General features: G+C 38.2%; 1 protein-coding gene across 82 annotated transcripts in view; it reads left to right on the top strand.

Annotated features, from left to right (window-relative positions):
• CYRIB (CYFIP related Rac1 interactor B) overlaps window positions 1-23,945 on the top strand; it is a 177,537-nt gene that overhangs the window by 89,249 nt on the left and 64,343 nt on the right. For 38 of the 82 annotated variants that reach the window (NM_001353270.1, NM_001353245.1, NM_001353274.1 and 35 more), the window contains one exon: window positions 23,296-23,382. The exons of 31 other annotated variants lie outside the window; for them this stretch is intronic. Coding sequence is in view for 2 of the 51 variants with exons in the window: in XM_047421855.1 (XP_047277811.1) it covers window positions 15,366-15,411 (46 nt within the window). In the remaining 49 variants the exon portion in view is untranslated. Of the gene's footprint in view, window positions 1-15,365; window positions 15,412-15,463; window positions 15,522-23,295; window positions 23,383-23,945 lie in introns of all 82 variants that reach the window. 13 more of the 82 variants (NM_001353279.1, NM_001353247.1, NM_001353251.1 and 10 more) reach the window with 4 other exon arrangements.

Here is a 23,945-nt window from a genome sequence, read left to right as displayed (position 1 = left end):
GATGTCTTTGTTGGTAATCAGTTGACCACAAATGTTTGGGTTTTTCTATAGACTTTTATTTCTGTTTCATTGATCTATCATTCTGCTAGTACCACATGGCTTGATTACTGTAGCTTTCATACTGTATTTTAATAATGAAAATTCTTGTAAACATACATGCTCATATTTATAAAAAAATTGAAACAATATAGAGTAGTAAAAGAAAAAAGCAAAAATCACCACCTAGGTAGTCGCTGTTTTGGTGACCATCTTTCCAGCCATCTTTATGCATATATATATGTTAGATGACTACACACACATACTCTCCACATTTATTCATAGAGACATATCCGTATTTGCCTACGCTCATTGTTCTTGTGTACTTTTTTGAGTGAATACATTTATTGTCAGCTTTAAGAGAGAACTGATTATTTTTCTTTCTGCAGGGACTTTTGTAATTTTGTGCATTTTTACTGACTTAAACTTCTTAGCAGACCGAAGCCTCTTTGAGCTAAGAACTATGAGTGCATTTTTCTTGGTAGCATGTTTAAATGGAATTTACTTCTCACTTCATCTGGTAAAAGATGACTTTAAAACTTTTTTTTTCTTGTGGAGACAGAGTCTCACTGTCGCCCAGGCTGGAGTGCAGTGGCGCAATCTCGGCTCATTGCAACCTTCGCCTCCTGGGTTCAAGCGATTCTCCTGCCTCAGCCTCCCAAGTAGCTGGGATTACAGGCACGCACCACCATACTTGGCTATTTTTTTTTGTGTGTGTATTTTTAGTAGAGACAGGGTTTTACCATGTTGGCTAGCCTGGTCTCAAACTCCTGATCTCAAGTGATCTGCCCACCTCGGCCTCCCAAAGTGCTGGGATTACAGGCATGAGCCACTCCACTTGACTCTAAGACAATTTTTTAAATGTGTGCTCTATGAATGCAGCACATTATGTGTAGAACTTACAACAAAATTAATTCCCAAATCCAGTTTTAGGCATTTAAAGTTTTTATAAATCTGCTCTTGAGTATTAGATTAACTTTTTGGCAGTTGGTGATAATGAGTGTGGAGCCAGTAGATATATGTGTAGTGATACAGAATTTTATTTGCAATCATGTGAGGACTGATCCCCACTGCAAGCTTAGTTTTATCATGCTAATAAAGAAATAGCCACCTTTGTTCTTTTGCATTTCAGAATTTGGTCCCAGTTCCTGTTGAAAATATCTCAGGATCCAGCTTCATTGAGGGGTTACAAGGTTGAATTCGCAAATTCTGAAATGTTTCTCTCCGCTAGTGTAGATCACATCCCATTATTAGGAACTCCTCTGACACCTGCATTTTTCTTGTAGTATGATTTTATATGGTGCATACATGGTTCAAAATCATATTTAGAGATGTAACAGCTCTAGGAGACTGTAGATTACACTATTTAAAAGACTGAAGTTTAATCTCTGGTAGGGAGCCATTAAAGGGTTTGGACTTCAGAGTGGCACAGTGAGACACATTTTAGAAAGAGCAGCACACTAGTTCAGTGGAAATTTGATGCTTGAAAAAGGTAATGTGTTTAAATTGGGTGATAAACTGGATTGCTTAATGAAATTATATAAATGAAGTGTTATTGTACAAGGTTTTAAAAAATATAAACTTACATTTTTAAGTGGCATAAAGGGACAGTGTTAACCGTGGCTGAGTGGTAAGGTTGTGGATTTTTATTTTATTCCTGCTTTTCATGGAAAATTTAGAAAATACAGAATACGAAATAAGGTGCTAAAATGGGTGGAACTCTTGTATTCTGAGTTTGACCCTAAGTCAACAGATGCATATTTCTAAAGTGAGTTTTAAGGACACCATGTGGGTGTTCAAAAGAGAGCCAGAAAATGGATCGTGACTTCTAATATGTATCCATCTGTTGTTGTAAAAGGTTTCATTCAGAAAGTTGGAAGTTGGAAAAGAGTTTTTGACACGTGTTGTTAGAAATTGGAAACGTTTTTTAACCCAGTTGTTGGTATTCTAGGAGTCTTTCCTAACCTCTTTCCTCTGTCTTTGTTGGAGGGATGGGGAGTACTCCCCCTCCAGTAAAGATAGAAGGGCTTTATAGTGACCACTTGGGGAACTTAATGTGTAACTCCTGCAATTTGGTGGACACAGTAAATTGATGTCTGTCTAACTCATACCTGGAAATTTTCAGGGGTGAAAGAGAGACTATCTGCTTTGGCAGCACAGCAAAAGAAAGCAAGGTTGCTGTGTAGATGGACTGCCAGTGCTCCCAAAGTTTTTTGGACTAAGAGATCTGTGTTTCCCATAGATCACATGAGGGCCACCTGAGAGAAGTGAGACCACATGAGGGAAAACCCAAAAGAGTAGGTATAAGGGGGACAGGATGGAGGCTGGATTCCCAGAGGAGATGCATTACAGGAATTGGAGTGAGAGCTCCCAACTTTCAAGGAACCCCTGAAAGCATTCCTGAACAGAATCAGCTTTAAACTTTATTGTCATCATTATTATTATTATTTTTTAAGACGGAGTCTCGCTCTGTCACCCAGGCTGGACTGCAGTGGCATGACCTTGGCTCACTGCAACCTCCCTGGTTCAAGCAATTCTCGTGCCTCAGCCTCCTGAGTGGCTGAGACTACAGGTACACACCACCATGCCCGGCTAATTTTTGTATTTTTAGTAGAGGCGGGGTTTCACCATGTTGGCCAGGCTGGTCTAGAACTCCTGACCTCACGTGATCCATCTTCCTCGGCCTCCCAAAGTGCTGGGATTACAGCTATGAGCCATCGCTCCCGGCCTAAACATTTTTTGAGTCATGAAAGTGTCTAAGCTCTCTGATAGCACATAATTGCCCCACCCAAGGTTAGCAAGGTGGAAAGGAGTGGAGTAAAAGCGTGTAGTGCTCTTGTACTGTGTAGGGCTGAGCTGGGAAAGCAGAGAAACTAACTTTAAATGAGAAAAATTTGACGATTATACTAAAGATCTTTCAGTCACTGCAGCCTCGACTTCCAAGGCCTGAGTGATCCTCCCACGTCAGCCTCCTAAGTAACTGGGACTATAGGTATGCACCACCACATCTGGCTAAGTTTTTTTATTTTTTTAAATTTTTTTGTAGAGACGGGTTCTCCCTATGTTGCCCAGGCTGGTCTCCAGCTCCTGGGATTAAGTGATCCTCTGTCTCAGCCTCCCAGATTGTTGGGATTACAGGTGGGAGCCACTATGCCCAGCTGGATCTTTCAGTTTTAAAAGTCAGATTGTTTTTATAACTTGGGAGTGACCAAAGTCATGATCATTAGCCTAAATGAAAGTTCAGGGACATTAACTATGGCTACAGAGTAACTTTAAAGGCTAGTCGTGGACAAAAAATTGTTTTTTATAGTTACATCCCACGGGTTCGGCTTGTTCAGTATAATGGTTACAATTGTTTTTCTAATAAAAAAATTAATGAGAATGAATTTTTCGAAGAATGTGCTCATGGAGGCATTTTGTTGTGAATAAAGTGGCATCAACTTTGGGATAGGCAGATCTGTTCTGGAAACAGATCTACCCCTTATTGACACTGACCTCTTATTAGCACTGATGTGAGGTAAGTAACACCCCCCCCGCCACCCCCCCCCCCCCCGGTTTTTTTTTTTTTTTTGGAGGCAGGTCTCACTCTGTCGCTTGGGCTGCAGTGTGGTGGCATGATCATAGCTCACTGCAGTCTTGACCTGGTCTCAAGCAGTCCTCCCATCTCAGCCTCATGAGTAGCTGGGACAGCAGACATGTACAACCACACCTGGCTAATTTTTTTTTTTTTTTTTTGGGGTGGAGATAGAATCTCACTGATTGCCCAGGCTGGTCTCAAATTTCTAGGCTCAGGCAGTTCTCCTGCCTCAGCCTTGCAAAGTGTTGGGGATACAGGCATGAGCTACTGCAGCTGGCCTAAACCAGTGTTTGAAATTCATTTTCCTCATTTACTTTTTGTAAAAAGGTAACATCACCGGTTTTGCAGTGTTTTAAAAAAAAAATTATCATCTATAGCAGAATGCATGGTACATACTAGATATTCACATATGTTCGTACTTTTTTCCTCCTTAAAGCAAATATTCCCTATTAAGTGTTTTTACTCTTTTTCATGTTTTACTTCTTCAAAATGTATTCCTTAAAAATACTAAACGGAGGTAGGGAGTTTAGTACATAAATGGTGTACTATCAAGGATGTAAGAAATGTTTAATCTTTAGTATAGCCAACAATTATACTTTTGATTTGAAATGTGAAAAGTTTTTAGAAAGAATGAAAAGTAGTTTTACTGACGTGTGAGGGAAGTGTATGAAATAAGAGACTAAAGGTTGACTTGGCCGGGTGCAGTGACTCACACCTGTAATCCCAGCACTTTGGGACGCTTAGGTGGGTGGATCACCTGAGGCCAGGAGTTTGAGACCAGCCAGGCCAACATAGTGAAACTCCGTCTCTACTAAAAATACAAAAATTAGCTGGGTGTGGTGGCGAGCGCCTGTAATCCCAGCTACTTGGGAGGCTGAGGAACGAGAATCGCTTGAACCTGGGAGGCAGAGGTTGCAGTGAGCCGAGATTGTACCATTGCACTCCAGCCTGGGTGACAAGAGCGAAACTCTATCTCAAACATACATACATACATAAATGTAGACTTAGGTGGAGATTTTTTTCTTTTTAAGAGTTTTGCTCTTGTTGCCCAGGCTAGAGTGCAATGGCGCGATATCGGCTCACCACAACCTCTGCCTCCCAGGTTCAAGCGATTCTTCTGCCTCAGCCTCCCAAGTAGCTGGGACTACAGGCATGTGCCACCATGCCTGGCTAATTTTGTATTCTTTTTTTTTTTTTTTTTAGTAGAGACGGGGTTTCCCCTGATGGTCAGGCTGGTCTAGAGCTCCCGACCTCAGGTGATCCGCCCACCCCTGCCTTCCAAAGTGCTGGGATTACAGGAGTGAGCCACCGCGCCCGGCCGGAGAATTTTTTCATTACTATTCTTAGTAGGAGTAGTTTGGAATGTATAAAACAAAGTAAAGCATCTTTTTTTGTTTTTTTTTTGGAGACGGAGTCTCACTCTGTCGCCCAGGCTGGAGTGCAGTGGTGCGATCTCGGCTCACTGCAAACTCCGCCTCCCAGGTTCATGCCATTCTCCTGCCTCAGCCTCCCGAGTAGCTGGGACTACAGGCACCTGCCACCATACCCAGCTAATTTTTTGTATTTTTAGTTGAGACAGGAGTTCACCATGTTAGCCAGGCTGGTCTCGATCTCCTGACCTCGTGATCCGCCCGCCTCGGCCTCCCAAAGTGCTGGGATTACAGGCGTGAGCCACCGCGCCCGGCCTTTATTAGATATTTTTTAAATGATCTTGGTGTTTTGCCATTTTTTTCTGGGTGTTCTACTTTTATAATAATGTTCAAATTTTGTTTTGAAACAAAGTTTTCTTTTTAATTATCCTGGGACCTCTTAAATATCTCAAAAAACTGATCTGTACCGTCTTTAATTTTTGAATATCTTTATTATGTGTATTTATACTTTAGAGTTATATTTGTACCATAAATTCTGCTTGTTTGTAGGAATGGCTTTAAATTGGGAAGGAAATTACAGTTTTCTATTCGAGACTGGAATATTCTTCATAATTCATTAACGGGTCCTTGGTTGCAAATAGCAGAAACTGACTAGGTAATTTGGACATAAAAGGAATTTGTTGGGATGATGACAGGTAGGTTACAGAATTGATGGAGAGAGTGGGAACCCAGCTTCACAAAATGAGCAATAACCAGAGGCAGATGAGCAGCAAGAAAATACTGCCCAGATTATGTTACCATAACAGTGTGGTTAGTGCAGTGTGGCCACTGGTCTCTTACTGTTGCCACTGTGAACCATTTCAAGTGTCCTTGGTCTTTGGATACAAAGTCCTGGGGTGTAGATAAAGTATTTGTGATCTGACCTCTTCCCTGAACTCCATACTTCTGTATCCATCATTGCCTTCTCAACATCTTCAGATTGGTGGCTCATAAGCCTCTCAAATTTAACATGTCCAAAACTGAACTCCTCTTCTTTTTTTAATCTTCACACCTGCTCCTTTTCATCCAGGCAAGCTGTCTGATAGAAAATATTTCATAATCAAGATTTGTCTGCTTTGTTTCTTGATAAATAGAATCAGTTTATATATACCTGACAAGTTTATTACATAGGGTAATGTTGAATACATCCCATTGCATTACATCATCAGGCATATAATGTCTGTCACATTTTTGGTGATACTAAATTTTATCCTTCAATTAAGATGGTGTCAACCAGCCTGGGCAACATGCTGAAACCTTGTCTCTCCAAAAAAAATACAAAAATTAGTTGAGTGTGGTGGTGTGATCCTGGGAGATTAAGGCTGCTGTGAACTGTGATCGTGCCGCTGCACTCCAGTCTAGGCGAGAGAGTGAGACCTTGTAAAAGGTCTCGGTTTGGTGATACTTTGAAACCATGTGAATATCTGGTTGCCCAAAACTTTTCACTGAGTAGCCTAACATAGGAGAGGACATACACTCAAATAATGGCTGTTAATGTATATCTGAATAATAGCTATTAGTTATTATCAAGAAGTTAGGGAAGAAGAAAACCTTCCTGTTTTAGTTTCAGTTTTTAATAGTGTAGAGGAAAGATAAGTAAATTGTTATGAATCTCAAATTCTGAAAAGAAGCATTAACAGTCATTCTCCAATATGGACTGCAAAGGTGACAAATGATGGCTACATACAATTTAACTTTTATTTTTTAATAGATAAGACTTATGTCTGAGTAAAAGGTACATTAGGAAGAAGGCTGAAAGAAATGGCTAAAATAAATATTGATGATCTGTTCACTTCGGTGATCAGTATTTTCTTGTACATCATTTAGCATAGATCAACATTTTTCTCCATTTTTGTGGTTTTAGTACTTACAATTTTTTTCCTATTCTTGCACTTTAATATTTTTTCTGTTAATTCAAGGAAGCAAGGTCTACTTCCCAAATGACTAAAATTTTGTCTCTTGTTCAAGAAATCTATCTCTGTAGATAAAATGAATTCCTAGATACTGCAAATAGTAAACTAAACAGTGAAATCTAGAATACGTAAGTGCTCCTACATTTGGTGGAAATCAAATGAAAGGGGATAGGGGAATTTCTAAACTGTACAGGTTTTTGTAAGGTATTAAATTAGTGAATGAGTAGGGTAGCAGAAGGTAAAACATCCAGGATGTTATGAGTTAATGGTTTCAGAATTTATTTTAAAATCAAATTTTATTTATCTTTTCCAGTCTGAAATACCTAGTTAAAAATTACTGATGATATGGAAGTCTGTTACATAGCAGTTGAAGTACAGTTATGGCACTCATTCTGTTTGTGGGTGACTATCTGTTAAAAATCATTTAAACTAAGATGTTTAAGTCTAGGAAATAAAGAAATAGCCAAAATCTGAAAATACTGAATGATTTCTACTTAATTATCTCTATGAAACTTCTAAATGTTAGGAAAAATAAAGTTCTTCTACTGAAGAATTATGAGCTCTTTTGAGAAATGAACCTATCTGATATGATATATTTATAGTTGTGTGTATTGATGTCTTGTCTGTTGAACCCATTAGATTCCATGTGGCTACTAATGAGCACTTGGGAGAAAAGCTCATAAGACATGTAAGGTAGTTTTTAAAAGAGGAGAAGATAGACAAGAAAGAACCACTTCATAGGACATTTAACAGGCTGGACTTACATGTTTTAAAGATAAAGGTTTACTACATAAATATATACTCTGACCATGAAAGAGTAATTTTTAGAATAGTACTTTTTTTTTTTTTTTTGAAAGTGTTTTCCCCTGATTTGGTTTGTAAGTTCAGACTTGATAGTCCAAATTTGGAATTATATAAGCTATCCAATAAATAGAAATAACAGAAGGGCAAACAGATTAAGGTTCAAACATGGATAGCAAACGGGATAGAAATTATTGAATAAATCAGTGCAGTTTTGTATTTATTAGGACTGAAAAATCTTACCCGGTGTTCTTCTGAATTCTTGGAGTTGTCTCAGTCTCAGTTTAATAAAGCCTTTTTCTTAAGGATTTTAGTATTATTTTATTATGTTACCCCATTGTTAACAATCATAGGTAGTAATTAAAATGCTTTGTATAGGAGAAGATTTTCCTTTTCCAGTTTAGTGTATATGCTAACATAAATCTTAAAATTAAGTTATTTGACTTAATTTGAAGCATATAAAAATGTCTTTGGAAGTTGTTAGTAGTACTGGTGTTTTTTTAAGTATGTAAGGCACCCAGACATCTCACTTCTCTAGCTTTCTCTGACATTCTCCTCTAGACATAATGAAATTACTCCCTCATCTGTTTTCCCATAGCAGTTTAACCACAGAACTCCAGCATAGCATTTTATTTAATTGTACTGTATTGTAGTAATTTGTTTACATGTCATCTCATAGACTATGAGCTTTATGAGGGCAGATCTTGTTTTTACACAGCATTTTGTACTTTGCCATACATAGAATGTCTGGCCTATTGGGAGTCTGTAACTGATCTTTGTTGAGTTTTGAGGACGTTTTTAACACTATGTGACAAAAGTATTTTTCATAGTCTTAAAATCTATTGTTCTATTGCTACCAAGACATGCGGTAATATATGTTACCACATATCAGATATATAATATCACTCCAAAGTGGTTATCTATGCCTATTGGTGCAACTGAGTTTTATCAGTCCAGAAAAACTATATCTATCTGTAGGCTGGGTGGGCACGGTGGCTCACACCCACAATCCCAGCACTTTGGAAGGCCGAGGCCAATCACTGGAGGCCAGGAGTTCGAGACAAGCCTGGCCAACGTGGCAAAAACCCATCTCTTAAAAAAATAAGTAAAATAAAATAATTTAAAAACTATCTGTAAAACGGTGGTGGACACACCTTAGAGTATTTCATTTGAAGTCTCTTTATTTAATTTTTAATAGGAGAAATTACATATTTTTCTAAATTTTACCAGTTTTCTGCTAACGATACATTGACCTCTCCTTATCTCTCTTTTCCCCAAACAAATCATTTTAGCAGAATGACAGCCTTTTGGAACCTTAACTTTAGACGGGTTGCATTTATTCTAATGTACTTATATTATTTATGATGTTTGCTTATTCACTCATTCAGCATCTATACTTTGGAGACTGTGATGTTTCAGGCATTGTGCTTAGTGCAGAGCAGAGTATGATAACAATGAACAGCCTGTGGTAGCCACTTTGAGTCATGGGAAAGGGTCCAGCGTTTTGATGAGTGATATGATGTGCTGTGAGGCCTACAGAGAAGATTTTTAACTCACACATGGAATATACCTTTATCTCACACTGTCCTGTTCTCTAAATTTCTGTTGTAATTGTAGTCTGTAACAATACTTTGGTGTTGACAGAATTATTATGAATTCGTTACTTTTTATATATGCAAGTATTATTTCCACAGGAAGTCATTAACTACTTTCAGGATAAAGATTGTTGTTTTCTTTTTTCAACCCTTAGAAAACGTAAAAAGCATTCTAGTGTGCGGGTAGAACAAAAAGCCATGGGATTAGGCATGGTCTGTGGGTGGTTTGCAGACCCCTGCTTTAGATAGACAAAGCAATATTATCATATCTGGTCACTTTTCTATGTAAAGTTTCTCAATCTGGGATTGGGCAATCCTGGCTATATATTAGAAACATTGTGTGGCTTCTTAAAAAAACAAATACCATGGTGTACCGTAGGCTTGGTGAATAAGAATCTGCTGTGGTAGCTCTGTGGCATGCATAGTTAAAAACAGGGTGGTGGTGGTCCATGGATAATTGTGGTGGGCAGCCATTATTGATAGTACGTACTGGCCAGTGGTCACTCGTAAACACGTGAAAATGAAGTAATACGAGTTAGGGTGGATTTTCTTTTTCCAATTTTTTTGTTATTAAATCACTGCAGTAGTAGGGTGGATTTTCTAATAAAACTACAACTGAAGTATTTAAAGAAATAATTAAATTTCTTAAAAAGCTGCTTTAACAATACATAAAAATGACTTTTTTTCTTTTTTGAGATGGTGTCTCGCTCTGTCACCCAGGCTGGAGTGCAGTGGTGCGATCTCGGCTCACTGCAACCTCTGCTTCCCAGGTTCAAGCAATTCTCCTGTCTCAGCCTCCTGAGTAGCTGGGGTTACAGGCACGCGCCACCATGCCCGGCGAATTTTTGTATTTTTAGTAGAGATGGGGTTTCACCATGTTGGTCAGGCTGATCTCGAACTCCTGACCTCATGATCCGCCCGCCTTGGCCTCCCAAAGTGCTGGGATTACAGGCCTTGAGCCACTGCACCTGGCCAAGATATTTAAGAGAAATCTTGGAAATTTTTTTTTAAGAATTGAGTCAGCCTGAGATCTTTGTGTCCTATGCCATTACAATTACAGATATAGACTAATGGGAAGGATGATGTGTAGATATGTGATCAGGTTTCTGCATTAGAAGGATTATTCTAATAACATTATGGAGAATTAGTTAGAAAAGATTAGAGGTGGAGTAGTGAGACCCAAATAGGCTATAGTAGGAGTCCTGGCTTGAACTGCTAGTTCAGTGGTTGTGTGAGTAGAGGTCTTCAGGAAATAGAATGGTCAGGTTTTTCAGGTCTTACAGTACAGGTAAGAATGATGACTGGTGTTTTCTAACTTGGATGGATGAATGGTATTGGTATGTATTAATACATAAACTTCTTTAAGATCAGCGCTTAAATCTTAAACAGTTTGGTGTTTCTAGAACCTAGTACAATATCTGCCACATGGTGGATATTTGATCTGTGTTGCTAATAATAGCTACAACTAAGTGAATGTTTGTGATTTTTCCTAAGCAGTAAACATGCATTCTCATTGAATCTTATTTAATGCTTGCAACAGTGCTGTAAGGTCTGTTAACTCCATTTGACAAATGAGGAAACTAATGCTTACTAGCTGTGTGATCCTGAGTTATGGTAATTGTCAGAACTAGGATTCAAACTGGTATTTGACTGGTTTCAAAGCCTCTAGACTAAAACTTTTCTACCTATATATGCTATGCTGTTTCCCTTCGTTGTAAAATACTTAAGCACTGCATATTAAATAGGGTACAAAAGACTTGAGAAACAAATTTTATCTTCCCTCAGTTATACAACTAACATCTGCAGCCAATGAGTAGCAGTGTACTATTGGATGAAAATGCTTTAGAATTATAGGGATTGATGTGGGCTGGAGTCCTCGGGAAAAGCCTGTTGAAAGCAGGAATAGCTTTAAATTGGCCCTTTAAGGATAAGAATCTTTTTAGAAGGAAGAAAGGAATGCCTTTTTAGGAGGAAACAGATTTCAGTACTGGAATGGGCATAGGCTGTTAGGGGGCTCTGCTCTAGTAGCATGTTTATTAGGAGTAGCCTGAAATCAGAATGGATATTCATTCCTAAGTGTGCCAGTTTGAGAATGTATCCTGAAGAGTATTGGGAGCTATTAGAAGTTTTTTTTTTTTAATAGAGCAGTGATGAGATAAAATTAGTGTCTCTTATAGTGCTTGACTAATATTAGGTACTCAGGTATTTGTGTGATAGAAATAAAGTGGGGAGAGAACTACAGAAGTAGGTTAACCATTTAGGAGATTATTGCAGTAGTTAGGAGTGAGAGCATAAAAATCTGAGCTACGGAAATGACAAAGAATAAATATGAATTTAGGAGAAATTGAAAGCAGAGGAATAGAAGCCTTTGTAGAAGAAAGTTGGATAGAATTTCATTTCAGAAGAAAGTAGAATAGAAGATTTGCATTTTATTACTGACTCTGCCCAAATTTAACCTTTCTGGGTCTCAACTTTCCCATTTGTGAAATGGAATTGGGACAAGATATGATTTTAAATTGAAATCATAAAGCTTATTTTTAGCTTTAAAACTTTTGTCTCTATGGGCTTTTTTCTTTTATTGAACTATTTCAGAGATCACCTATATATCAGATTTCAAAGTTAAAATATAAATACGAATGTAATAAGATGTCTTAAGTTCTAAAGCTTGAGTGAGATAGTTCTTCTGGAGACTCTAGGCATTAGATCCTCTAGATTACAGAGTAAATACATACCTTAGAGTAATGTGGATCTTGGAAAATGCAATTTCTCAGGCTTGACCCACAAAATTTAGTGGGTTGTGGCAAGCCTGAGAATCCACATTTTTGGCAGATGCAGATGGTCCATGGACCATTTTTAAAAGTTTTATTAAGCATACAGTTTGTGGAGCTTCAACATAGTTAATCACCTATGAAACCATCACCACAATCAAGATAATGAACATAATCACCTTCAAAGTTTTTTCCTGCCTGCTTCAAATCTATCCACCCTACCTGCCCCTAGACGCCAGTCAACCACCTGTGCCCTTTCTGTCCTTATATTAGTTTGCGTTTCCTAGAATCTTACTTTTTTATTAATTAATTTTTTTAGAAACAGGGTCTCACTGTGTTGCCCAGACTTAACTCCTAGAATCTTATATATGAGGACTCATACAATATATATTCTTTTATATCTGGCTTCTTCAACTCAGCATAGTGATTTTGAGATTTATATTTATTGTTGGATGTGTGAGTAGCTTGTTTCTTTTATTGCTGAATAGTATTCTAGCATATGGAAATACCACAGTCTGTCCATTCATTTGTTGATGAACATTTGGGTTGCTTGCAGTTTGAGACTACTACAAGTAAAGTGCTATGAACATTAGTGTATGATTCTTTGTATGAACATAATGCTTTCATTTTTCTTGGATGAATACGTAGATGGAATGACTGTGTCATATTGAAGGTGTATATTTAACTTTTTAAAGTGGCTTTGCACAAGTGTATAGGAATTCATTTGCACTGTATTCTCACCAGCCCTTGGTATGGTCATTTACAGTATTTTTTTAGCCATCTGGTATGTTTTCAGTTTGTATTTCTCTAGTGCCCGATGGTGTTGAGCATCTTTTCAAGTGCTTATTTGCAGTCCATTTAACTTTGGTGAATTATCTGTTGAAATCTTTTGCCTGTTTTTAGATTCAGTTGCTTTCCTTCTTAGGTTGTGAAAGTTGTGTATACAGGCAGTTCTCATTTTGTGCTGTGGAATGTAAAAATACTTGTGCAGACTTAAATTTTGCAAAGCAATCTTAGAAATTATGTTGTTCATGATTTTTAGAAATTTTCGTCAAAACATAACTCTCATTGTTGCAAAATGTATAGGGAAATGGATAAAACAGTAAAACTAGTATTTACTTAGTACAGTGTAATTTAAACCTTGAAAACTAAAGTGTTTTATTTATTTGTAAAAATCTTTTCAAGAGTAATTAGAACTGTGCCTGGTTTCTTCTTCCCTGTTGTACAGTGTGGAGTGAGCATCATTTCTAGGCCTTGGACAAGTTGTTAATACTTCTAAATTTGAATCAGCTTCAAACATTTTATCCATTACATTGTGAATATCAAGAAGTATATGTAAAAGTTCCTTTAATATGAAGGATTTTTGCTGGCATGACTTCCTCTGAGACATTGTCATCCTTTTCACCATAACCACTCTCTTATGTTGATCAGTTTACCTTCAGAAGGTTCCTCTGGCTGCATATTTAGTCTCCCTGTTGGCAGCGGTGTCACCATTCTCACAGTCAACTCTTTCTTTTGTAACTCCATTTATATTCCATTAGAATTTTATTTCCAGCATTATCGCTTTTGTTTCTTTGCTTCACTTTCGTCTTTGTTGGCAAATCCTCTCCTTCAGTTGCCCATTTAAAAAAAAAGTATCTCATGGATTTGTCACTGGGGACAGGGAAGTAACACAGGACAGCTACTGCTCTGCAGCCTGTACATTTAGTGAATAACAGGTATGCAGTGACTAGTGACTCACTTTAAAAGAAGTGATATGATTGGTCATGGATCAGGATATAAAAAATTGGAGAAAAGGATAAAACTATAAAGAATTCTGTATTTTCAGTACCTTCATTTCTCATTACATTTAAAAAAGACAAAAACTAGACATTTTAGAAAAAGTGTATTTATGGTTATGGTCTATACAATAGTAATAATGATAATAACATCAACTTTCATTTATAGAGTCCTTATCTGGCAGGGACAGTTTTAAATGCTAGACATATTCTTATTTAATCTTCATAATAACCCAATTAGGTGGTAGGTATTAATATTATCCCCACTAGAGAGAGAGAAACTTGTCCAAGGGTGAGGCTCACAGTTTGGCTCCAGAGCCCGTGCTTTATTTATACTAGTGCTACTCAAAGCGCACTTTGCAAACCAGCACTGGTCCATGAACTGTTCACACGTAGTCTGTGAAGAATTGGAATTTCCACTTTGTAAGTTTTTAAAAATTAAATATTTTTCTCCTCTGGTAATTTCTACAAAAACATTGGATCATAGTGGCTGGAAAATACTCTAGCAATGGCTTGTCATTGAAGAATGTGCTTTGGTTTTCTTAAAAAAGGATTAGCTAATGAATGCACGTGTATGTATTTTAAATGTTTCTATCAATAATTGCAATTAATTGAACAACTTCTAGTTCTGATTATTATGGAAAAGCTTTTACTGTAATTACAACACTGTGGGGAAAGACAAGGTTTATCTCAAGAGCTTCTGCTTATGTAGGCATGATTTTGAAAGTGGAGCAGATTCCAGGGGTGGCTCACGCCTGTAATCCCAGCACTTTGGGAGGCTGAGGCAGGTGGATCATGAGGTCAGAAGTTCAAGACCATCCTGGCTAACACGGTGAAACCCTGTCTCTACTAAAAATACAAAAAATTAGCCGGGCGTGGTGGCCGGCGCCTGTAGTCCCAGCTACGTGGGAGGCTGAGGCCGGAGAATGATGTGATCCCAGGAGGCGGAGCTTGCAGTGAGCCTAGATCATGCCACTGCACTCCAGCCTGGGTGACAGAGCAGTCTCCGTCTCAAAAAAAAAAAAAAAAAAAGTGAAGCAGATTCCTGAAAGTCATGGTATTGCATTGTAGGATTCACTTTTGCGCTTTGTATTTAAATTTATCAGCAGTAGAGATAACTTTAACAGCAGTAGAGAACACACTTGTTTTCTGTCACCGTAAACATGACACACAGATTAGGAATTCACTGAATCATTTTACCTGAACCACTCTTTAATATGCCTTCATTAGTTCATCCTGTTGATTATCATATAGAATTGTTTGAAAAAAAAATGACTTGCAAGAAAAGAAAGCCCCAGCCTGGGCATCCTAATAAGACCCTGTCTCTAAAATAAAAAAATAAAAATAAAGGCAAATTTAAAAAACCCAAGTCTTTGTTTTCATTGAAATGCACCTTCTCTGTTCCCAGTCCTCCCCTTCCCCCAACCCCAGAGTGCATCTGTGCATCTTTTGAGGTAATTATATGGCTTTTTTCTTTTAATCTGTTAGGGTGGTGAAAACAGTAGGTATTCTGAACCAACCTTGCACTTCTCAGGTAAGCCAAACTTGGTCATAATTAAAAAAAAAAAAAAACTTTGTAATTTCAGATAACTGCAGCATTGGACTAGAGGTGGAGAGAGTGGTACTGGGGGAGTGGTGAAGCAGGTGAGAAGCTGGAAGGAATGGTCATTTCAGTGCTAGTGCAGTTTGCAACTTCAGATAATTTTGGAGCATATATATATATATTTAGCAGGATGTATAAATTCAACTATTTGATCTTTTATGAAATCGAACCTGGGGTAAATTTGGAGCGTGTATATATATAAACTGTAAAGCTTTATTTGCCTTATGTTATTACCTCTGTTTGTATTTACCATTCCTTTAAAATTATGTGTGTAAATGTTATAAGGGGGTTTGAACATGTGGGGTAGATTAAATGAACACTAAAAATTCTTTCTTTTAACTAGCATTTAATTTTACAGAGTTTGAGCTTATAGAGCTGCAAAATAAGGTACTTACTTGTTTTCACAGAACGTATCTTAAACCTGTGGAATCTTTAGGTTAGCACGATTGCAGCACCTGCCATCAAAAATGCATTTTACAGTCTCTCCATGGCTGTATGTTCCAAAACTTAGCTGAGTTGAAGTATCAGAAAAGTCCCATTGTAGATGGTCAGTAATCAGGGCAAGATATTGACAGTAACCAGGAGATCCAGAAGTAAGAAGGTTCTGTATAATGTCCTCAAAGCCTGGTGAGCCTTTTAATTTAGCCCTTGCCTCAGGTTTTTCATAATTGAAAACAGCATTATTGCTGTTGTAGGTTTTGTTTGTTTTTATTTTTGTTTTTTTTTTGCACACCACCACAGTCGGGCTAATTTTTGTATTTTTAGGAGGGACAGGGTTTCACCATGTTGGTCAGGCTGGTCTTGAACCCCTGACCTCGTGATTCGCCCACCTTGGCCTCGCAAAGTGCTGGGATTACAGGTGTGAGCCACCGCGTCCGGCCGTGGGTTATTTTTTTAAAGAATCATTTTTAATTTTACAATAAAAGAAGTTAGTGGAAAAGTAGTATTTGTTTTACAAGAAATCACATCTACAGAAAGGAATATTATAATAAATATTGAACAAGATTGTTTCCTGAAAAGTAATTTTCTCCCTCTGTTCCCTTCCTCATTTCTGTCCCTTCCGCTCCTTTTCCCAATTCCTTACCCTCTAGTCATGACCTTGGACAAACTACTTAACCTTTTAAAGCCTCTGATTGCTCATCAATGAAAAGGGTTTAATTTTAACCTATTAGGTTCACAGGCTTATGTGAAATATATCATGCAGTACAGTGTCTAAAACATAGGAAGTACTTAGAAAAAGGCAGCTGAGTAGAAAGGGACAATTTTAAAAGACTGTACCTCACTTTATACATTTATATTGAGTATCTGATCAAGGAAGTTCAGATTTGATAGTTATTTCCTTAAAAATACATAAGGCCTTGATAGAAAATGGGAAGGACTAAGTTACACAATTGTGGAGGAAAAAATAGCTGGCCTCAGTAGTTAACAAAACAATGGGAGAGAGGCCGGGCAAGGTGGCTCATGCCTATAATTCCAGCGCTTTTGGAGGCCAAGGAGGGAGAACACCTTGAGGCCAGGAGTTCAAGGTTACAGTGAGCTATGATTGTACAACTGCATTCCAGCCTGGGCGACAGAGCGAGACCGTGTTTCTCTTGTTTGTTTTTAGAATTAGGGTCTTGCTCTGTTGCCCATGTTGGAGTGCAGTGGCACTCATAGCCCACTGTGGCCTTGAACTCTTGCGCTTAAGCCATCCTCTTGTCTCAGCCACACATGTAGCTGAGACGACAGTTGTATGTTACTAGACCTGGCTGTTCATTTTAATTTTTGTGTGTATATGGTCTTGCTATGTTGTCTTGTCTGTTCTCAAACTCCTGGTCTTAAGTGATCCTCCCACCTCAGCTTCCTGAAGCGTTGGAATTATAGGCAGGAACCATTGCACCTGGCCCTTGTCTCTTTAAAAAAAAAAAAAAAAAAAAAAAAAAAGTGAAAGAAGGCACCACTTGTCAAGGATGCTGTGAAGTTGGCCAGTGCATCATTCTGATGGTAGTGTTAATTAGAATGTATCTTTGGACAGCAATTTGGCACTAGGTATAAAGACCTTGATGTATCCTAAACATTTTTAAGTTATTTCAACAAAGATATATGTTCATAGCTAAGATAATTATTCAAGGTGTTCACATGGCCCTCTGCACAAGGGGTGCCACACCTGTGGGTGTATCAGACATGAGATAGACATGTCACTTTGAGAAGACCGTGGGTGAGTGAAGGGATTCTGGGCCTTCTGGCCACATCTTGGAGCCAGGAGTTCCAGGTTACAGTAAGTTGCCTGGTACATAAACCCATACTAGCACCTATGGCATGCGAAGACTCTGGAGAGCTCCTGTGAGGACACTCTGTCCATGCAGGTGGTTACAGCATGGTCTTGTCCAGACTGAGCTCCAGACTCCAGGCATCCCCTGAGGTGATGTCTTTCGCTAACTTGCCCACCACTCCAGTCTGACAGAAACTGATCTGGTAGTCTCATTTGAGAAATTTGGGGCAAGGGTGCCTGGCACTGGCTTAGGTATGTTTATGTGCCTTAATGTTCAGGGATTATGTTTGTCAGTAGGCAAGAGCGTGACCCTTGTGTGCAGGGGCATGTGTATGCACAGCCAGGGTGTTTGCTTGCTGGGGTTCTTAAACCCCAACCCAGGCAGAGCTATATTGTGTAGTTGTTGAGGTTGTGTAATAAAATAATAGTTCATAAACGTTTTTATATTAGACTGGGATAACTTCTTCTAATCTCACAAAGTCTTTATGTGCTTATGGAAGTCTTGGGCATATAGCATCGTTTAAAAGAGCAAAAGGTTAGAAAAACCTGAATGTCCAGCAGTGAGAAAATGCTTGAAAAAATGTGGTACAACCATATGATGAGTTGGTATGTAAAGACTAAAAGTGGTATTTTGGCAGAGTTTTTAATGATGTGAAAATATTGCTCATGATGTGAATGATAAAAAGCAGTACAAATACAAAGAAAGGGTGTTAAATTGTATAAAAATATACATAAAAGAAATTAGAAGAGAATAAATTGTTAAAGCTTTGGTTGTGGGATTATAGGTAGTGGTACTTGTTTCTTTCCACTTTCTTTATGTATTTTGTGTAGTGAGCATGTTTTACCCTTATAATAAAGGGGAAAATTAAGATTGTAAAAACTTTTTAGACTCTACAAAAATCAAGTCATGTTCTGAAAGCCTGGCATTACCTAGGCAACTGTTACTGCAATTTACTTTTTCCTGGAGGTAATTAAAAAAAAACTTTAGAGATAATTAGAAATGTTGGTATTTCAAATCTTCTGGAGCATGGGTTTACAATAGAGATTAAGAATTTCTTGGTCAGGCATGGTGGCTCATGCCTGTGATCCCAGCACTTTGCTAGGCTGAGATGGGGGGATTGCTTTAGGCTAGGAGTTCAAGACCAGCCTGGTCAACATAGCAAGACTCCATCTCTATTTTATTTAAAAACATTTTTTTAAAATCTTTATAAAAAAAGAATGTATTGATATTGTATTAATATTTAGTATTAATATTTGCGCAGTATTAAGATTTATATGTATCATATATGCCTTGGTATTTGTTTTTATATAGAAAATGTAGTTCTAGGTATATCAAGGAGGGAGGCTCTTAATGTAACCATTGTGCTTTCTTCTGATCAAACTATTTTGTGGTAGTAAGCATGGTGTAGGATGACATAGAGGAATCCTCAGGTGTTTGAGTTCTGGTGCTGTTAGACATGGTTTTCTTAAGAGTACTGTACTTGAGATTTAGTGTCAGTAGAGAGATACATATTATTGTAATTTTAATATTAAATATTAAATACAAAAGGTAATGACCATGTTCAGCAAAACTAGCATTTCCATTAATCTACACACTTTGAGTTTATTTTTGCTCTTTTACAAAGGAAAAGGATGCATAGATAACCTAATTTAAATAAGTGAAAATCTGCATTTTACAAATAAAGATGCTCAAATAACTTAATAATTTAAATAATTGGAAATGCAACCCAAGCCTGATTTCAGAACCAGTTCTCTAAACCATTTTACCATATTTGCTTTTTATTATTAGGGAGTATACATTTTTTTCATAATTTATTGTTTTGCCTCCCTGTTACAAATTATCGTTTATTTTTTTCTGTTGTCTTCATGTGATTTATATACACTCCCATGAACTATTTTAAGACATTTTGGTATCCCTTATCTTTAATTTTTACATGATTGATTCATCTTTCCATTTTAAATTTTTTATAGTGCTTTATATTTTAGCATATTATTCCTCCAAAGATAAGTAAGATTCTTTGTTCTATTTTCTGAGATTTAGTTTTGAGAAATTAAACTCAAATCCATGTGTAATGTATAGTTTGAGAAGGGTCTGTCTTAGTTTTCCATGGAGTTATTTCAACACCATTTACTTACTTATTTATTTTTTGAACAGAGTCTTACTCTGTCACCTAGGCTGGAGTGTAATGGTGTGATTTCAGCTCAGTGCAATCTCTGCCTCCCAGGTTCAGGCAATTCTTGTGCCTCAGCTTCCCGAGTAGCTGAGATTACAGGCATGCACCACCATGCCTGGTTGATTTTTGTATTTTTAGTAGAGATGGGGTTTCGCCATGTTGGCCAGGGTGGTCTCAAACTCCTGACCTTAGGTGATCCACCCACCTTGGCCTCTCAAAGGGCTGGGCTTACAGGCGTGAGCCACTGCACCAGGCCATCATAGGTACCATCATTTGAAATACTACAGAGCTGTAAACATGGTTGACAGAATGGTCTGAAGTAATAACTCATGTCTTGCTGGAGGCCAGCAAATTTTTTTTTTCATATATATATAGTTTTTTAAATTATACTTTAAGTTCTAGGGTACATGTGCACAATGTGCAGGTTTGTTACATACATATACATGTGCCATGTTGGTGTGCTGCACCCATTAACTCGTCATTTACATTAAGTATATCTCCTAATGCTATCCCCACCTCCCCCCACCCCATAACAGGCACCGGTGTATGATGTTCCCCTTCCTGTGTCCAAGTGTTGTCATTGTTCAGTTCCCACCTATGAGTGAGAACATGCAGTGTTTGGTTTTTTGTTCTGCGATAGGTTGCTGAGAATGATGATTTCCAGCTTCATCCATGTCCCTACAAAGGACCTAAACTCATCATTTTTTATGGCTGCATAGTATTCCATGGTGTATATGTGCCACATTTTCTTAATCAAGTCTATCGTTGGACATTTGGGTTGGTTCCAAGTCTTTGCTATTGTGAATAGTGCCACAATAAACATACGTGTGCATGTGTCTTTATAGCAGCATGATTTGTAATCCTTTGGGTATATACCCAGTAATGGGATGGCTGGGTCAAATGGTATTTCTAGTTCTAGATCCCTGAGGAATCGCCACACTGTCTTCCACAATGGTTGAACTAGTTTACAGTCCCACCAACAGTGTAAAAGTGTTCCTGTTTCTCCACATCCTCTCCAGCACCTGTCGTTTCCTGACTTTTTAATGATTGCCATTCTAACTGGTGTGAGATGGTATCTCATTGTGGTTTTGATTTGCATTTCTCTGATGGCCAGTGATGATGAGCATTTTTTCTTGTCTCTTGGCTGCATAAATGTCTTCTTTTGAAAGTGTCTGTTCGTATCCTTCGCCCACTTGTTGATGGGGTTGTTTGTTTTTTTCTTGTAAATGTGTTTGAATTCTTTGTAGATTCTGGATATTAGCCCTTTGTCAGATGAGTAGATTGCAAAAATTTTCTCCCATTTTGTAGGTTGCCTGTTCACTCTGATGGTAGTTTCTTTTGCTGTGCAGAAGCTCTTTAGTTTAATTAGATCTCATTTGTCAATTTTGTCTTTTGTTGCCATTGCTTTTGGTGTTTTAGACATGAAGTCCTTGCCCATGCCTATGTCCTGAATGGTATTGCGTAGGTTTTCTTCTAGGGTTTTTATGGTTTTAGGGCTAACATGTAAGTCTTTAATCCATCTTGAATTAATTTTTGTATAAGGTGTAAGGAAGGGATCCAGTTTCAGCTTTCTACATATGGCTAGCCAGTTTTCCCAGCACCATTTGTTGAATAGGGAATCCTTTCCCCATTTCTTGTTTTTGTCAGGTTTGTGAAAGATCAGATAGTTGTAGATGTGTGCTATTATTTCTGAGGACTCTGTTCTGTTCCATTGGTCTATATCTCTGTTTTGGTACCAGTAGCATGCTGTTTTGGTTACTGTAGCCTTGTAGTATAGTTTGAAGTCAGGTAGTGTGATGCCTCCAGCTTTGTTCTTTTGGCTTAGGATTGACTTGGTGATGCGGGCTCTTTTTTGGTTCCATATGAACTTTAAAGTAGTTTTTTCCAATTCTGTGAAGAAAGTCATTGGTAGCTTGATGGGGATGGCATTGAATCTATAAATTACCTTGGGCAGTATGGCCATTTTCACGATATTGATTTTTCCCCTATCCATGAGCATGGAATGTTCTTCCATTTGTTTGTATGGAGGCAAGTAAATTTTAACACTTAACTTGAGGAATCTCTAGGTTTGTAGATTTTAGGTGCCTGGATGATCCAATTTAAATATTAATTAATATTTACTATTTATGACCTGATATTTGATTTCTAAGGGTGAATACAGTTACAAGTGTTTTATTGTGTCTTGATTTATTAAGAATAAATAATTGAATTTTCCCCCATGATTTTATGCAAAGTGGCACTGGTTTTTCTGCTGTGGTTTATAAAAGTGGTCAGTCAAGCCACTTGTTTTGTTTATTTCTGGGAGCCTGCAGTGGGCCTTAGGGAAGGAAGTTTTATCTTCGGCAGAAAAAGCAAAAAAAGTGTTTATTCATTTCACTTCTAGTAATATTGATCCAAGGCAAGCTTTTGAGAAAAGCTAGAACAGTTAGGCTTTGAACGTGACTCCCATTTGTGAACTAACTCATAGAGAAAAGTGAAAGATTGTAATCCCAGCACTTTGGGAAGCCAAGGTGGGCAGATCACGACATCGGGAGATGGAGACCATCCTGGCTAACATGGTGAAACCCCGTCTCTACTAAGAATACAAAAAATTAGCGGGGAATGGTGGCAGGCGCCTGTAGTCCTAGCCGCTTGGGAGGCTGAGACAGGAAAATCGCGTGAACCTGGGAGGCAGAGCTTGCAGTGAGCTGAGGTAGCGCCACTGCACTCCAGCCTGGGTGACAGAGTGAGACTCCATCTCAAAATCAATCAATCAATCAATCAATCAATCAATCCAGCCTGGGTGACAGAGTGAGACTCTGTCTCAAATAAATAAATTAATTAAAAAATAAATTGTAGACAACGTGAGGTTCTGGAGCAGAAGTTGCAAACTGGTGGTTCATGCACGTATAGCCCTTAGACTGTTTCATTTGGCCTGTTGAGTGTCTGACTTATTTCATTAGTTGCTAATGTCTAAAATCTGTTTTACATGGATATTGAGCTCTGTATCACCTGTATTTTTAGCATGGCATGTTGATAGCAGTGGCACCATTTAGATAAACACACACGTTTATTTGCCTGGTTAACATTTACCTAAGGTGGCCTCAGCCAGCCAACTCCATATGCATTTTTGCAACCTCTGTTCTAGTCTCTTCAATATGAAGTAGTAGTAGATCTGATAATGCTCAGGCAACAGAATCTTCTGCCTTGAGTTAGTAGGAGATAGTAGGCACAAGGATTTTAGGTAGTGAGAGTTTGGGTGGAATATGGGGTGTGCAAGAAAGCGTAGTCGAAATTAAGAAGGAGCATCCAGTGAGGTAGGATGAAAAGGGATTATGGTATTGTGGAAATCAAGTGTCTTGACCTAGTTTCACTCCAAAAGCAGAAACTGAGATGGGTGCTTTCTTACAGGTAATTCATTTGCACACCTGTTAGCAAGAAACAGAAGTTGAAGGACTGGAACAAGTGAACTAGGAAAGAGGGAACGCCAATCCAAGGGTGCGTTATTGAGCTGCTCACTTCTGTGAGCAACTGGGGCTTGATCCTGAGGAAGCCCTGTGAGAAAGCAATAAAGATATGCCTTTTGCTGGGAAGAAGGTGGTATTTATTTGCTAGATCCCATCTCTCGTTGGTCAAGGGTTGCCCATGGTGTTAACACCTTCAAATTTTCAGGTTTGTTTATATCTCTGGATAGCTGAAGAATTCCTGTAGACGTCTCCTATTGCAAAGCCCCAGAGCAGAAAGTGAACCACAGATAGTACAATCAGGAGGAGGTACCTCAGCTAGAGTGAAAACATGAGGCTTTTTCCTGATAGAGTGATCCATACCTTCTTCTCCAAGGGGTTAATGTCTTTATTTGCTTCTTATAACCTTATTTGCAAAGTTATACTCATTCTGAAGATTCCATTTTACCTAAAATTGTGTGTTTGAAATAGTAAAACCAAGCCCGGCATGGTGGCTGATGCCTGTAATCCCAGCACTATGGGAGGCCAAAGCAGGAAGCTCACTTGAGCACCAGGAATTGGAGACCAGCCTGAGCAAAATAGCGAGACCCTCTTTCT

The sequence above is a fragment of the Homo sapiens genome, chromosome 8 (assembly GCF_000001405.40).
Source record: "Homo sapiens chromosome 8, GRCh38.p14 Primary Assembly".
In the NCBI taxonomy this organism is placed as follows: Eukaryota; Metazoa; Chordata; class Mammalia; order Primates; family Hominidae; genus Homo; species Homo sapiens.
Note: the sequence above shows the minus strand (reverse complement) of the source record. Positions and strands in the feature narration are given on the sequence as shown.